Here is a 15,535-nt window from a genome sequence, read left to right on the forward strand (position 1 = left end):
GGTACCAGTTCCTCCTTGTACCTCTGGTAGAATCTGGCTGTGAATCCATCGTGAAAATGGCCATACTGCCCAAGGTAATTAATAGATTCAATGCCATCCCCATCAAGCTACCAATGACTTTCTTCATGGAATTGGAAAAAACTACTTTAAAGTTCATATGGAACCAAAAAAGAGCCCGCATCGCCAAGTTAATCCTAAGCCAAAAGAACAAAGCTGGAGGCATCACGCTACCTGACTTCAAACTATACTACAAGGCTACAGTAACCAAAACAGCATGGTACTGGTACCAAAACAGAGATATAGATCAATGGAACAGAACAGAGCCCTCAGAAATAATGCCACATATCTACAACTATCTGATCTTTGACAAACCTGAGAAAAACAAGCAATGGGGAAAGGATTCCCTATTTAATAAATGGTGCTGGGAAAACTGGCTAGCCATATGTAGAAAGCTGAAACTGGATCCCTTCCTTATACCTTCTACAAAAATTAATTCAAGATGGATTAAAGACTTAAACGTTAGACCTAAAACCATAAAAACCCTAGAAGAAAACCTAGGTATTACCATTCAGGACACAGGCATGGGCAAGGACTTCATGTCTAAAACACCAAAAGCAATGGCAACAAAAGCCAAAATTGACAAATGGGATCTAATTAAACTCAAGAGCTTCTGCACAGCAAAAGAAACTACCATCAGAGTGAACAGGCAACCTACAAAATGGGAGAAAATTTTCGCAACCTACTCATCTGACAAAGGGCTGATATCCAGAATCTACAATGAACTCAAACAAATTTACAAGAAAAAAACAAACAACCCCACCAAAAAGTGGGCGAAGGACATGAACAGACAATTCTCAAAAGAAGACATTTATGCAGCCAAAAAACACATGAAAAAATGCTCACCATCACTGGCCATCAGAGAAATGCAAATCAAAACCACAATGAGATACCATCTCATACCAGTTCGAATGGCAATCATTAAAAAGTCAGGAAACAACAGGTGCTGGAGAGGATGTGGAGAAATAGGAACACTTTTACACTGCTGGTGGGACTGTAAACTAGTTCAACCATTGTGGAAGTCAGTGTGGTGATTCCTCAGGGATCTAGAACTAGAAATACCATTTGACCCAGCCATCCCATTACTGGGTATATACCCAAAGGACTATAAATCATGCTGCTATAAAGACACATGCACACGTATGTTTATTGCGGCACTATTCACAATAGCAAAGACTTGGAACCAACCCAAATGTCCAACAATGATAGACTGGATTAAGAAAATGTGGCACATATACACCATGGAATACTATGCAGCCATAAAAAAGGATGAGTTCATTTCCTTTGTAGGGACATGGATGAAATTGGAAATCATCATTCTCAGTAAACTATCTCAAGGACAAAAAACCAAACACCGCATGTTCTCACTCATAGGTGGGAATTGAACAATGAGAACACATGGACACAGGAAGGGGAACATCACACTCTGGGGACTGTTGTGGGGTGGGGGAGGGGGGAGGGATAGCATTAGGAGATATAGCTAATGCTAAATGATGAGTGAATGGGTGCAGCACATCAGCATGGCACAAGTATACATATGTAACCTGTACATTGTGCACATGTACCCTAAAACTTAAAGTATAATAATAATTAAATTAAATTAAAAAAAAAGTTTAAGGATAGTCACTTAAATCAAGGTGTGTGTCACTTCATGAACACCAACTTTCTATCTTTGCTCTTATCCTTACACTCTCTTGCCTTCTCTGAACTATTCTATATCCGTCGCTATCTGTGATACTATAGCCTTCCCTATCACTCCACCCTGATCACAATCTGCATTCCAAATTACTATTCTATATAGTATTTATTTCTTTCCCCATCCAGATTACAAAAGCAGCACACATTTGCTCTGGAGAATTAGCCTATAATTAGAAATGCACAAAGAAAAAAATTTAATTACCTTCAATCTCAACACCCAGAAAAAAATAAAAACAAATAAAAAAACACAACATTTCCAGGACATCTTTCAGCTTTTCTTTCAAAATTGCCATCATACAGTACACATTGTTTTGGAACTTCCTTTTTCTCTTAATATACATTTACTCCACCTTCCTATGTCCCTGAGAAAAGGTTTGTCCCTGAGAAAAGGTTTTAAATGTAAGTAGTTTATTTGCAAAGTACAGAAACATCAGCGAGGGAGCTGAGAAAATTCAGGGGAAAATTCAAGCTGAATTATCAAGCCTGCTATCACTACGGGCAACTGGAGCTTGACCTCATGAGAAAACTCTGGGAAACAACATAGAATATAAACTCAGAATTATTCTGCCCAAGGGTTGAGGGAGATGACGTAGTTCTATACCAGCTCTTGTGAGTCACTGGTTGAGAGGCACGCCGAGGCTGCCCTGCAGAGATTCTCTAAGACTTCAGAGAAAGTCCTTAAGCAGAGGTGAAGATGTTGGTGGCTGGAAATAGGCTTCTCCCATTTAAATAGTAATAAAACCCAGGGGATATAAGACAAAGCACTGACAGCATCTCCTATACCCCACATCTTTAAATATTCTGCATCATTTGAAATTCTGTAAATTAAAATGACTTGATATAAAACAGAACTGCTTTCTATTCTACATTTGATATTTGCAAGCAAATGTGCCTTATGTTCTGTTTCCTGGGTAGTGTGTCTGGGACTAAAAGAAGCACATCAGAAAATTAAAGGCAATTTTTGTACATCAAAAACTTTTGAATATTCACAATTTCAAATGGGTCAACCTAATATACATAAAACTTCAATTATTTCATTTTTAGGTTCCATAACTACTGTAGCACTTATTTTCAAATGGGTCAACCTAATCTACATAAAACTTCAATTACTTCATTTTTCAGTTCCATAACTACTGTAGCACGTATTTGCAAGGGACTTACTTCTACTTCTCATTTCTTTCTCTCTTCTTTCTTTTGCTCATGAGGAAACTTACACATAAAAAACACAAACTAATGACCACTGGTACACTAAAAACAAAACTTTTCAGCTGTGGCCAGGCCAGGTGTGAATGAATGAATGAATGAAGCAAAATAAGACTTACTTTTTCTTCAACTCCCTATGATTTCTTGCTTCCAACTAATAGGCAAGCAATTACTGTCTCAAAGGATTGACATATTAAAGCACACCAGATTATAAAGTCAAGTCTGTGGCCAGGCACAATGGCTCACACTTATAATCCCAGCACTTTGGGAGGCCAAAGTAGGCAGATGGTTTGAGGTCAGGAGTTCAAGACCAGCCTGGTCAACAAAGCAAAACCCTGTCTCTACAAAAAATACAAAAATTGGCTGGGCATGGTGGCACGCACCTGTAGTCCTAGCTACTCAGGAAGCTATGGTGGGAGGATCACCTGAGCCTGGAGGTCAAGGCTGCGGTGCGCCATGATTGTGCCACTGCACTCTAGCCTGGGTGACAGAGTGAGACCCTTTCTCAAAAAAATAAAATAAAAATCAAGTCTGTGATAGTAATAATTAAACCAGCGTGTACGTTAAAATGTTTATAAAACTTTTTGAGTTTTATTTTCATGAAAATATATTCACTTCACAAGAAAAAGTACATGAATATAACAAACATCTTTTATATTTAGTTTTAGCTATTATCAAATAATTCAAAAATGGAAGAAGAAAGAAAGACACATATATGATCATTTTTACCTGCAAAAGGAGATTTCAACATGGGACTGTCCTCCACCATTATACCTTCTTGTGTCTTGTGTCCTAGCTTTTGCTTGTACTGCTGCACAAATTCTGTGGAATGGGCAGGATGTATAGGATTCATTCCATTTGACCGTGTGGTCTGAATATCACCTGCATGTTCGGAAGAGCACAGTGAGTCTTCAGTATGCCGCTCTGCTTTCATCAGGTCACTGCCAGACAACATGCTCAAATTGACAGCAGGGAGCTTCAGAACAGCAGAGTCGGCCTCACCAAAACTCAAGGCACTTGATATACCAAGGTCATCATCCTCAGGAATGGGATTGTACCATATTTCTCCTTCATCATCTGCATCATTTTCCTCATTAAAATCTAAAGCACAGTTTTTCGATAATGAAGAGTTTGTAGCGTTACATACCACATATGTACAGTACTCTTTAGATGATTTGAGGAAAGACTGTGATAGCTGATGTTTAGGTAGAGACACAGGTGAGATGGATAAATGACTTCTATCTTGGCATTTCTTATTTTCTTCTTCCAGATTAAGAGGCCTCAGAGTACTCTGATATAGCCAATTGCGTTTCTTTGAAACAGTGATGCTGTTAAGTGGCTTATGACCTCTGAATTCAATATTATCCTTCAGCTCTTCAAGTTCTCTTCCCTTCATTGAAGACCCATAGGCATTTTCAAATAAATCTGTTGCAAAGATAGAATAGAAGGTAGAATATAATGGCTGGTATATCAGAAAGACATGTCACTTCAGACCAGTTATTTAAAAAAATTTTTTTAAACAAAAAGTAACAACAATCACATTCAGAGACTAAAATTGAACTAGAAAAAATTTGAATTTTACATATAAATATGATTTATATTATTTAGAAATCAAACTGCTAGTACAAGTGTCAAAGAATTCTAAGAAAAAGGATATACAAACTCTGAGCCTGCCTTTATAAAAACTATAGTGCTAACAAAGCCTTACCCTAAGCAAAACATACCTTATAAAAAGTTTATCTAGAATGCTTTATTCATAGTATACCTCTAATCAATATTTGAATAAGTTTCAATTCATTATTACAAGGACCAGAAGTCCTTAGAAATATAATATTCCTCCTACCCTTTTCACACAAAGATTAACTTTCAAACCTAACAAGAAACTATGCCTTACTAATATTAAAATGTCAACATAACATTGGCTTCCTATCCACATAACACAATGGCACCTTATGTAGGGTTTAAGTTCTAAATATCTAGGGCAGAACTAAAAACAAAAATCCCTTCAGAAGGCCCCAGATTAGAAGCAGGTATGCTGTCTCACAGTATGCACTACACAGCTATTATTTTTTTTGGCCAGGCACAAACTTAAGCAGCAGAGAAATAAGAATGAACAAAACAATCCCTTCCCTTAAGAAATTCATAGTCCAGGCCCTGCGCAGTGGCTAATGCCTGTAATCCCAGCACTTTGGGAGGCCGAGGCAGGAGGATCACGAGGTCAGGAGTTTGAGACCAGCCTGGCCAACATAGTGAAACCCCGTCTCTATTAAAAATACAAAAATTAGCCGGGCATGGTGGCACGTGCCTGCAGTCCCAGCTATTCAGGAGGCTGAGGCAGGTGAATAGCTTGAACCCAGGAGGTGGAGGTTGTGGTGAGCCGAGATCGTGCCACTGCACTCCAGCCTGGGTAACAGAGCGAGATTCCGTCTCAAAAAAAAAAAAAAAAAATTAATAGTCCAATGGGAGACCTCAAATGCTTAGATATATGCACATCTTAATATAAGTAAGACTCTACAAATGTATACATAACATTAATTTCATCTAAAGAGGAAAATATTTTGTGTTTCCAGAGTTGTAAAGCAGGCTTCAATGACAGTCCATAAGCTAAGTATATAACTATCATTATAATAAAAATTCACCGTACATAATTAAAACCACATTTTAAAAATCTAAGATCATCTCAGGTTTCTAAATTATGGAATTATATGGTCAACTCATCTTATTGGCACAGCAAGTAAAAAATAATGGTCTAAAAATAGAGTGATAAAACACACTAAGCCACAAGGAGCTTAAAACAACCAAAAAATCAGATTTATGCAGAATCAAGGTTTTCAGTAACCTCCCTTCTACTGAAAAGAAAATCCTTTAAAAAATCCAAATGTCCAGCCTGGGCAACATGGCAAGACCCTATCTCTACAAAAAATTTAAAAATTAGCCAGGTGTGGTGGCACACACCTGTCATCCTAGCTACTTTGTAGGCTAAGCTGGGAAGATTGCCTGAGCCCAGGAATGTGAGGCTGCAGTGAGCTATGATTGTGCCACTGCACTCTAGCCTGGGCAACAGAGTGAGACCCTGTCTCTTAAAAATAAATGAATAAATATATTTTTCCTTTTACAAAATCCTAAACATGTACCCAACCAAGCAGATTAATAATAAATAAATAAATAAACAAACCTTAAACACAAATTGCAAGTCACATTCAATTCCAGATGCAGGAATTAGACTAGAAATCAGAAGGCAAGGAAGCTCCCATGAATACCTACTATGCCAGGCATTTATTTACTCCACAAATGAGTGACTATTATGTGGCAGGCATGAGAGATAAAGAAGTAAGGAGGCCCCCAACCTCATTTAACCTCTAGAACAATCCTATGAAACAGGTATGATTACCATCATGAGCCTCAAAGAGTTTGAGAAATATGGTCAAGTCGCTAGCCCTAGGATTCAAATTTAAGCCTGTCTAACCTTAAAACCCATGCTCTACTCACCATGCTACCCACAAACCACACGATGCTACCCATACCATGCTACTCACAAACAGTACAGAAGTAGGCAACCCTTTCTGAACATGGGGATATTCATCCCAATTTATCTTATAAATTAAAGTGGCTGCTGGTAAGAACTAAGTGAAATAATGTTCAAAATACTTGAAAAACTATTAAGTTCTACTCAAAAACGCCAAGTAACTTGTTCAAGAGTACCTTGTTGGTAAATGGAAAAGGCAGCACTCAAACTTATTCTGACTCCAAAGTTTGTGGTGATATATCTAGGCTACTATAAGGGAAATTCAAAAGTCTTTCTCTGGTTCTATCTCCATTACACTTAAAATTAACAACTGAAAATTAAAACATACTCAGCAATCACTGGGGTTTCTGGGTTTTCAGTGATCACATGATTTTGCCAGGTGCACTGAAGTCTAAATCTATTTCACATTTAAGTTCAAATCCAGTATTACTTAACAGTATTTCAGACCTTCACAGGATATTATAGTTTGACCCAATTTAAATTTGAAGCAAACAGTATAAAATTACATTACTCATGATGGCTATGAGCCACATCTTATTTTATCTTTTTCTCAGACATCTCTTAGAAATTCCAAATTTTTATATAGCTAGACACATTCATTATTTTAAATCTTTTTGGAGTTTTCTGACATACACTATAAATGAGTCTTTGAACATGTTTCTACTACATTGCAAGGAACTACAGTGAGAAAAATAAAGCTACCAGTATCCCATATTTAAGCAAGTTGATACTTCCATTGATATAATCATTTAATGAAAGTATAATATTAAAAGGAATTTTTTTTTACTAGATAGGGTCTCACTCTTGTCACCCAGGCTGGAGCACAGTGGCACCATTATGGCTCACGGCAACCTCAACCTCCCAGGCGCAAGTGATCCTCCCGCCTCAGTCTCCCAAGAAGCTAGGACTACAGGCTTGCACCACCACACCTGGCTAATTTCTTTTTTTTCTTTTGGTAGAGACAGGGTCTCACTATGTTGCCTAGGCTGGTCTGGAACTCCCAGGCTTAAGTGATCTTCCTGTTTCCCCCTCCCAAAGTGCTGGAATTACGGTGTGAGCCACCATGTCTAGCCACTATTTTCAATGAAATTACAAACTACAAAAGCTTGAATCCATTCACTCTGATTGCTATTGCCGAATATTTTAAAATACATGATGCTGAACTTTAAACTTATAGATAAATGGCACATTATTATAATTTATATTGTGTATTATAAATATATAATATTACAAAGGCCAAATTTATTTATTAAACTGAATTAATCAACACATTATTCAAGATAATAAACTTGAGCAATTATTTATAATTAAAACATTTTTATCTCACTTAAATTAAATGGATCCACATGAATGTAAATTCATAGATATGGAAAGCTATTTGCAATCTGCCCTCCCATTTAATGCAACAATGTTTAACCATATTAGCATAAATTTAAGAGTTTTAGCTTCATATATATGAAATATGTTATTCATAAATTATAAATATTTTTGTAGAGAAAGGGTCTCATTGTTGCCTATATATTGCCTATAAATTATAAATTTTTTTGTAGAGACAGGGTCTCACTGTTGCCTATATATTAAATTATATATTATATATAAAAATACATACAATATATAATAAAATATATTTCATATATAATATAAAAATATGTTATATATACACACACACATATTGAAAGAAGGTCCAACTAAAAATATAAAAATAAGTATGCAAAGTTACAAGGCAAAAAAAGTCCTTAGTCTCTTGCAACTATACATGTTATGGGATAATTTTCAGATTCTAATTAAAGTAATTTTACTTTGAATCTGTAAGAGAAGAAAGAAATGGCAATTAAAAGTTTTTCACTCAGAAAAATATTCCACACAGTGGTGAACTACCCAAGTCAATTCTGTTTTCTCAACTATTATTTCATAATAAATCTAGATTACTTACTGAACATTTAACTAGTGCCCCCAGCTCAAATGCCATCAGCAAATTTTCCAAGAAATTATATATTTCAACCCTCATTGAAAATCTGTAGTACCGGCTGGGCGCGGTGGCTCACGCCTGTAATCCCAGCACTTTGGGAGGCCAAGGCGGGCGGATCACGAGGTCAGGAGATCGAGACCATCCTGGCTAACACGGTGAAACCCTGTCTCTACTAAAAATCCAAAAAATTAGCCGAGCATGGTGGCGGGCGCCTGTAGTCCCAGCTACTCGGGAGGCTGAGGCAGGAGAATGGCGTGAACCCGCGAGGCAGAGCTTGCATTGAGCCGAGATCACGCCACTGCACTCCAGGCTGGGCAACAGAGCTAGACTCCATCTAAAAAAAAAAAAAAATGTGTAGTATCTAGAGAGACATCTTTTCATCATTTTAAAAATTCTGCAGAAATAAACTCTCTTGCTTTTCCTTACTTCTCTTTAAAAATCCCAAATAAAAGTATCTTATGAACACTGTATTAGATGTTTAAATCTGTTTTAAAAGCATTAAACATTTTAATATTTATTAAAATCCTGTTTCTAAATAAGTACAAGTATCCCCTGCTTAGAGTCAAACTTGGCAGTCCAGATGAAATTACTAGAATAAACTTAAGTCTTAAGTTTCTGTGTGTGTATATGTGTGTGTGTATCTTTATCTTTCCTAGACAAATCTAAAAGGAGGAGAGGGATGGAATGAAAAGGAAAGAAGCACCTTTTTTATTTTCATTCCCTTGTGGCTAGCAATAAAAACCCTAAAGAAAAAAAAAAGCTGTGTGTTAGCTTTTGAGACGGGAAAGTAGAGAAGAAAACTCTGAGACCGTTTTCAGTTCCACAAAAGTAACAGGGAGCAGCAAAAGAAAGGAGCACAAAAGATGAGCAGAATAAATAAATACCCCAAAAAGGTGTCCTCTAGCTCAATTCCCAGTGCTCCTCAAGGCAGTACTCCTCAACTTCGACCTTTTCACTCTCCATCTAGAATCCTAATGATCTGAGGCAAAGCAGTATTCTCACAAAGCCTGCTTGCCTTCCCCTTGATAATAACAAGTAAGTGCTAGGCACAGCACCAAATGGATTATCTCTTTTCATCCTCACAGCAACCTGAGGACTGAGGCTACACAAGGTTGAGTAACTTATCCAAGGTCACAAGCCTGGTAAGTGGTAGAGTCTGACCAGAAACCCAGAATCTCTATTCTGTTAACCATTGTCCTATACGGCCTCCTCTCTTGCATTTCCAAAATCTCACTAATACTTGTTAGTTAAGCAAGATGAGGCCAATATAGAGGGAACTGCTCAAATGTGTAATATATAAGTAGTAAGTATATTAATTCATATACATAAAACTGAAGCAAAAAGAGCCCAAGTGCTTTGCTCTAATAGGGGTAGTTTAAGTACCAAGTATCAGAATAAGGTAGAATTTTTTGTAAAACTTCGGGGATGTGAGAGCTCTAGAAGCTTACTATTCAAAAGTACGGTACACCAGACAGCAGCATCTACACTGGGAGCAGAATCTCAGGTCCCACCCCACACCTATAGAATCTGCATTTCAACAAAATTTCCAGGGAATTCATATGGACATTAAGTTTGAAAAGCACTGCTCTAAAACATTGAACCACATTTTGAGTGGCAAAGGTCTAGCAAACAGCCTTCTTAAACACAGCATTTCTTGGGAGCCACTGGTCTAGAAATGTAGGACTTTCAAATCAACACAACACTGTTTTCTGCTGAATTTGTAATTCTTGAAGTTTTCCAGCCACCAGCAACTCCAATGTTCCATGACACTCTTCCAGAAAAAGAAAAAAAAAAAAAGCAACTGCACTTGCTTTCTAGCACCACAATAGCAGAATCTCTCAGGAAGAGATTTAAAATTAGAAGACTGTCAAAAACTATATAACTATTGCTACTCACCTTGAAAAGGGCAAATACAGAAAAAAATTGTTGGAAAAATTCATAAAGATTATGCAATTCATAAAGATAAAAAATCAGAGTTACAAATACTTGAGAAAAGTAGATGGGAATCAAGTCATAGTGTCAACTTCACTTTAAGATGGTTAAAGATCATACCAAACTAATTAATACTACCTTAAAATAATTGTCTAAAAATTTTAGACAAAATACTAAGTTATACAGTCTAAAGTTTTTTCTTTCCCAGACCATGTAGCAGGAAAAGTGGAGTCAAAGTAGGCTAATTATTTTTTAAAGCAATAAAAGGTGCTTTTGAATTTGTTTCTGAAAACTATATGCTAATTAAAACTTATTTATAAAGATTTATAATGATGTATAGTTGGCAAACACATTAAGATTCCTTTGTAATCTTAAGGCTTGCAGAAACTTGACAATTTTTATTATGTGTAATGACTTTAGATTTCTGAAATAATCATCTCAATTAGGAACAATTCGGCCAATCTGCGAACACTACATACTTAACTGCATCAAATCATTTGTCATTATAATACTATCAAAAGTTCTTAGTAGGAGCCAGAAATCAAAATAGAAAATCATTTGTGTTTCCATTTGTCATATAGTCTCAAAAATTTTCACAATACCTATATGAAGTATCTCCATTCCACTGAATAATTATTCTGTATTACAAATTCTAAATGTAATTTTGACAAAATATCTTATGAATAATACTGTACAGAAAAATGTGCTATAAACCTTTTAGGATATTTAACATCTTTACATAAACAAGAATGTACTGGTTCATCTAGACCGCTCCAAATAAGTTTTGCAGAAAACATGATTTAAAAGTAGAAGTCAAGTGACATCAATTTCAAGTAAGTAAATATTTAAAGGTAAAAGTTTAAAATGAATACAGCAAATGCTTTTTTAAATTTTATTTATTTATTTATTTATTTTTTTGAGACGGAGTCTCACTCTGTCTCCCAGGCTAGAGTGCAGTGACACGATCTTGGCTCACTGCAAGCTCCGCCTCCCAGGTTCACGCCATTCTCCTGCCTCAGCCTCCCGAGTAGCTGGGACTACAGGCACCCACCACCACGCCCGGCTAATTTTTTGTATTCTTAGTAGAGACGGGGTTTCACAGTATTAGCCAGGATGGTCTCGATCTCCTGACCTCGTGATCCGCCCGCCTCGGCCTCCCAAAGTGCTGGGATTACAGGCATGAGCCACTGCGCCCGGCCCAGCAATTACTTTTTAAAATGTCTTTAAACCCGGCCTAAGATTCTCCCATCTTCTTTGCAACTTTGAGGAAGTTACTTACCCCGCTATGCCTTGTTGAAATTCACCCATATCCTCAATCCAAGCAATTTAATAGAATTAATTGGATCAGACCTTTAAAGAACTCTAGAGTCTCTGATCTTATGTAAACAGGGGCTTTTTTCAAACTCATGACGCCTTGGGTTTGAATCCACATAGTAGTTTGAATCCATACACAGGTACCAACTGAGTGATCTTGGGCAAACTGCTTAATCCCTCTGTTCTTTTTCTTGTAGCTGTTGTTAAATGACAGCATATCTCCATTTTGGGGGCTATAAAAATTGTATGAGAACCACCTAATGTATCCAGAATGGACTTAGTAAGACCAACTAAACTTCATGAAAAATAATTTTTTTAAAAAGCTCTCCAAATCTATACTAGATATGTAAACACTGCACAAATTATTTTCATCTCTCCTGAAAAATGAATTAGTGGTTTAAAAGGAAGTAACATCTGAGAGTTGTTTAAACCAGAGATTATGGTAGCTTTGGCTTAGATTTCTCATAAAATATCTAAAATATTATCACATAATAATTGTTTCATTTTAATTTCTAAGTTAGCAGTTTCATTTAATTAGTTGCTTAATGCAAAAATCAAATTCATTCTTAAAGGAACTATATTTATTACTTTAAAAATCCTTGAATGTTTACTACTGAGGGCATTAAAAGCCATCACATGGTAAGTGTTTTAGCTCTGTGACAAAAGGGTGAAAAATATTTGACTATTTTTTGTTATGGCTGAAATTCAACTATGGTACCAAGAGTTAAAACTAAGCCAAAGGGGGGGAGGTAAAAATATTGTGGCAATAAAATATAATAAATGATTACAAATTACTCCTGGAAATGCATGTTTAATATGAACTTAGTATAAAGTACACCTCTCAACAAAGAATTTACATTCTATTATCCTTTTGTTCAAGTGAAATGGAATATTTAACCTTGAGAATAAAATTTGACAGGTGTGTATTAGAGCCGTATAGACAGGAAAAAACTTTGCAAGTTGGCACACACTTTGAATGAATCATTTGATTTGTCTTCATTGTTTGATAAGAAGTTTTGTGAACTTTGTTTCTCCCCACTGTTGTGTGTTTATTGGTTAAACAAAGTTAATGTGTATAAATCCAGTCCTGTAGGATTTATAATTACTACCAGAGAAACCGCCAAGTACTGTGAATACCTTTTACATTTCAGGATTTAATGTTTTCCAAATTATTCCTGACTTATAAGTCTTTATGATCACTAAAAATTTTTATATGTAAGAGTATTCAAAAGACCATGTTGTTTTGGCTCACTTTGAAGATATTATACTCCTTTCAGGAAAGATATTTTGATATTTACAACATAATTGACTGGTTTCTAGAATTGATAACCTAAACCTTCAGTGATAGTTAAAAATCATGCACATACAAAATAGGGAGCTTAATCCTATTATAAGGATCAATATACTTTTTAAAAAACTAATTTACTTCTCTTATAAATAGGATTTAAGTTTGCAAATGACTGCTTTAAAAACAAAACTACCTGAGGAACATTTTTCTTTTGATTAAAATGTTAGTGTCCTTGATTTTTCACAATAAAAAGATTACTTTGTTGAGGTTTCTTTGTCGGGGGGAGGCAGGTGGAGAGATGGTGTATGTGAAATACTACCTGACTAAAAAATTCTACTTATGGTAGGGTTTTTTTTGTTTGATTTGTTTGGGTTTTTGGTTGTGTGTATGTATGCATGTGTGTGCGTGCCTGGGAGAGGCAAAAAAAAAAAGTTGTAATGAGTAAAATGACAGTTTATGAAGCCTATAAAATCTACCTTGAATCAAATTCAAATTTACAAACTCCACAAAAGTCTACGGATTTGCCTAGAGCTACAAAGAATAAAAATCAAGACAGTGCCGCCCATCTGTAAACCTACTAAAAGTGTGTTATACTTAACCTTTACTCCTTTAGGTAATACTTAGGGAATAGACACACTGGTTTTTCGAGAAGAAATCACAACCTCAATTCTTCATGCCATTGTCTGATTAAAAAGAAAAAAAAAAGCAAAACGAGTAAATGCATTACATTAAGTAACCCCGAAATTACTTTAAGCTGCCACTTACATGACACTTACTTTCGCCCGGTAACGTACCTGTCGCAAAAACATAACTTTTTCTTGGCTCTTAAGACAGAAGCCCAGTCGGTAAACAGTAAGGCTCGCGGTGCTAGCATTTTCATCGCAAAGTATCCTACCTGTCAGCGTAATTCTTTGGTCTGGAGGCACCGACAGGACACGGTTTTCACGCACTTTCAAAGCGCCCACATTTGGGGAGGCTGCCTGCGTTCCTGTGACTTTGGGAGCCGTCCCACGGGCACGACCCTTCATTCCCAGGGACAGCAGACGCCCTTTGTACATCCACTTCTGCAGCTTCTTGACTGTCACTGCCGGCGGCCTGAGGAAGGAGGGGCCTTCCTGGCGGTCTCCTTTGCCACTGCGTATCACAGAGGACCCCGCTGGATCCCTGAAAGGGCTTCCCGAGGAGCAGCCGTGGTCCTTGCAGCCTGGAGGCTGGAGGCCGGTGGGTGCAGCCGCCCGGGCGCGGTCCCCACTCCAGCCGTCCATCCTGCCTCCACGTGGCGGGGGCTCGTCCCAGTCCCGGTGCGCGCCGCACCTGATCCAGCTGTCGCTCGGCCACCGCTGGAAGGGAGGCGGCTTGGCACCCACCCGGAGGCTCTCGAGGCTTCTGCTGCAGGACGGCCGCATCCGAGGAGTCCGCAGCTGGCCTCCCCGCGGCTCCCTCTGAGGCGACCGGGGCGGGGACACCTGCTGCCGAGGGCGTCCGCCGCCTCCCCGCTCCCCGTCCCGGGGGCAGGCTCGGCGGTACGCGGCGCCGCGGGAAGGCGGCTGGCCCGGAGCCCGGGCTCCCGCGGGGAAGCTGTGATCCGCCAAGCCCCTGCCGCCCCGCCGCGCGCCCGAGTCAGGGGGCAGGTCGTGCATGGCCTGGATCAGCAGATAATAGGCCTCTCGCAACTGGGTCCGCAGCCTGCCTGTCTCCAGGCGGCCGCCCTCCGCCCCCAGGGAGGAGCCCGCCGCTGGGGGAGGCGGGGGACGCCGTTCCGCCTCCGCCCCCTCAGGCTCGGGCGCAGACTGCGAGCCGCCGGGCAGGTTTTCGTAGTAGTCGGCGTCGTAGTCGTCTTCGTCCTTGTCGTCTTCCTCCTCCTCTCCGCTGTCCTCGGAGCCCTCCGGGGAGTGCGGAGGGGCGTGAGCGAGCCCATGGCTCTGGGGGGCGGCCTCCTGCCCGCCGCGCGGCCGAGGCCCGAGCGCCCCCAACTGCTCCGGGTGCCCTCCGGGGACCCGCGCCCCGGGACCCCACGCCTCAGGTGACGGCGAGGGCTGCTGTAGGCTCCGCCCGTGTCCCCCGGCGTGCTCACGTGGGAGGGTGTCTGCGGCACCCCAGGCGTCTCCCGCGGCTGCCGAAGAGGCCGCCACCGCAGCTGCGGCTGCCGCCCGGAGCCCTAGCCCCCCGGTGCCGCGGGGACCCCGCCTTCCCCGGAGCCTGGACAGCGTCCTCCTCAGAGGGTCCGCCATCCCCTCTGCCTTAGCCGCGAGGCTCACCCCCGCCAGGGGGAGAGGTCGGAGCCCCGCTGGGGAGAAAACCGCGCTCGCGGAGGCGGAGGCGGAGGCGGCGGCGGCTCCCCATGACCGGCGCTGGCCCTCGCCGGCTCCTCACATACTTGGCATAACTCTGCCGCGGGAAGGCGTGGGGGAGGGCGGTGGCGCCGCAACGCGCATGCCCCGGAGCCCCGGGCCGCGACGGGGCGCGCGGGCCGGGGGCGGCAGAGGTGGGTTCTCGGGGTGGGCGAGTGGTGCAGGTGGAGGCGGAGGGCGCGGGCCGGTAGGTTGAG

At 40.1% G+C, this 15,535-nt stretch overlaps 1 protein-coding gene and 1 long non-coding RNA gene across 6 annotated transcripts in view, besides 2 other annotated features; both read right to left on the reverse strand.

The window, feature by feature from the left end:
* Positions 1-14,647, reverse strand: part of SYDE2 (synapse defective Rho GTPase homolog 2) — a 48,526-nt gene extending 33,879 nt beyond the window's left edge. For all 5 annotated transcript variants that reach the window (XM_017002483.2, NM_032184.2, XM_017002484.3 and 2 more), the window contains exons 1-2: positions 13,883-14,647; positions 3,688-4,383 (exon numbers count right to left, since the gene is read on the reverse strand). In XM_017002483.2, the coding sequence (XP_016857972.2) occupies positions 3,688-4,383; positions 13,883-14,627 (1,441 nt within the window). In that variant the 5' untranslated portion in view covers positions 14,628-14,647. The remainder of the gene's footprint in view (positions 1-3,687; positions 4,384-13,882) is intronic.
* On the reverse strand, positions 11,267-13,873 carry LOC124904207 (uncharacterized). The gene is made up of 2 exons (XR_007066199.1): positions 13,782-13,873; positions 11,267-13,670 (listed from the first exon to the last, which is right to left on the reverse strand). It is a non-coding gene; the product is annotated as an uncharacterized LOC124904207 (long non-coding RNA).
* Positions 13,762-14,373: an enhancer, noted in NCBI's record as "H3K27ac hESC enhancer chr1:85665814-85666425 (GRCh37/hg19 assembly coordinates)". NCBI's record gives its function as "activates a minimal SCP1, AML or CMV promoter by ChIP-STARR-seq in primed H9 embryonic stem cells {active_cell/tissue: H9 hESC(primed)}" and the evidence as "EXISTENCE:reporter gene assay evidence [ECO:0000049][PMID:30033119]".
* Positions 14,386-15,535: a silencer, noted in NCBI's record as "silent region_1031". NCBI's record gives its function as "represses an Ori minimal core promoter by ATAC-STARR-seq in GM12878 lymphoblastoid cells {active_cell/tissue: GM12878}" and the evidence as "EXISTENCE:reporter gene assay evidence [ECO:0000049][PMID:35858748]".

The sequence above is a fragment of the Homo sapiens genome, chromosome 1 (genome assembly GCF_000001405.40).
Source record: "Homo sapiens chromosome 1, GRCh38.p14 Primary Assembly".
In the NCBI taxonomy this organism is placed as follows: domain Eukaryota; kingdom Metazoa; phylum Chordata; class Mammalia; order Primates; family Hominidae; genus Homo; species Homo sapiens.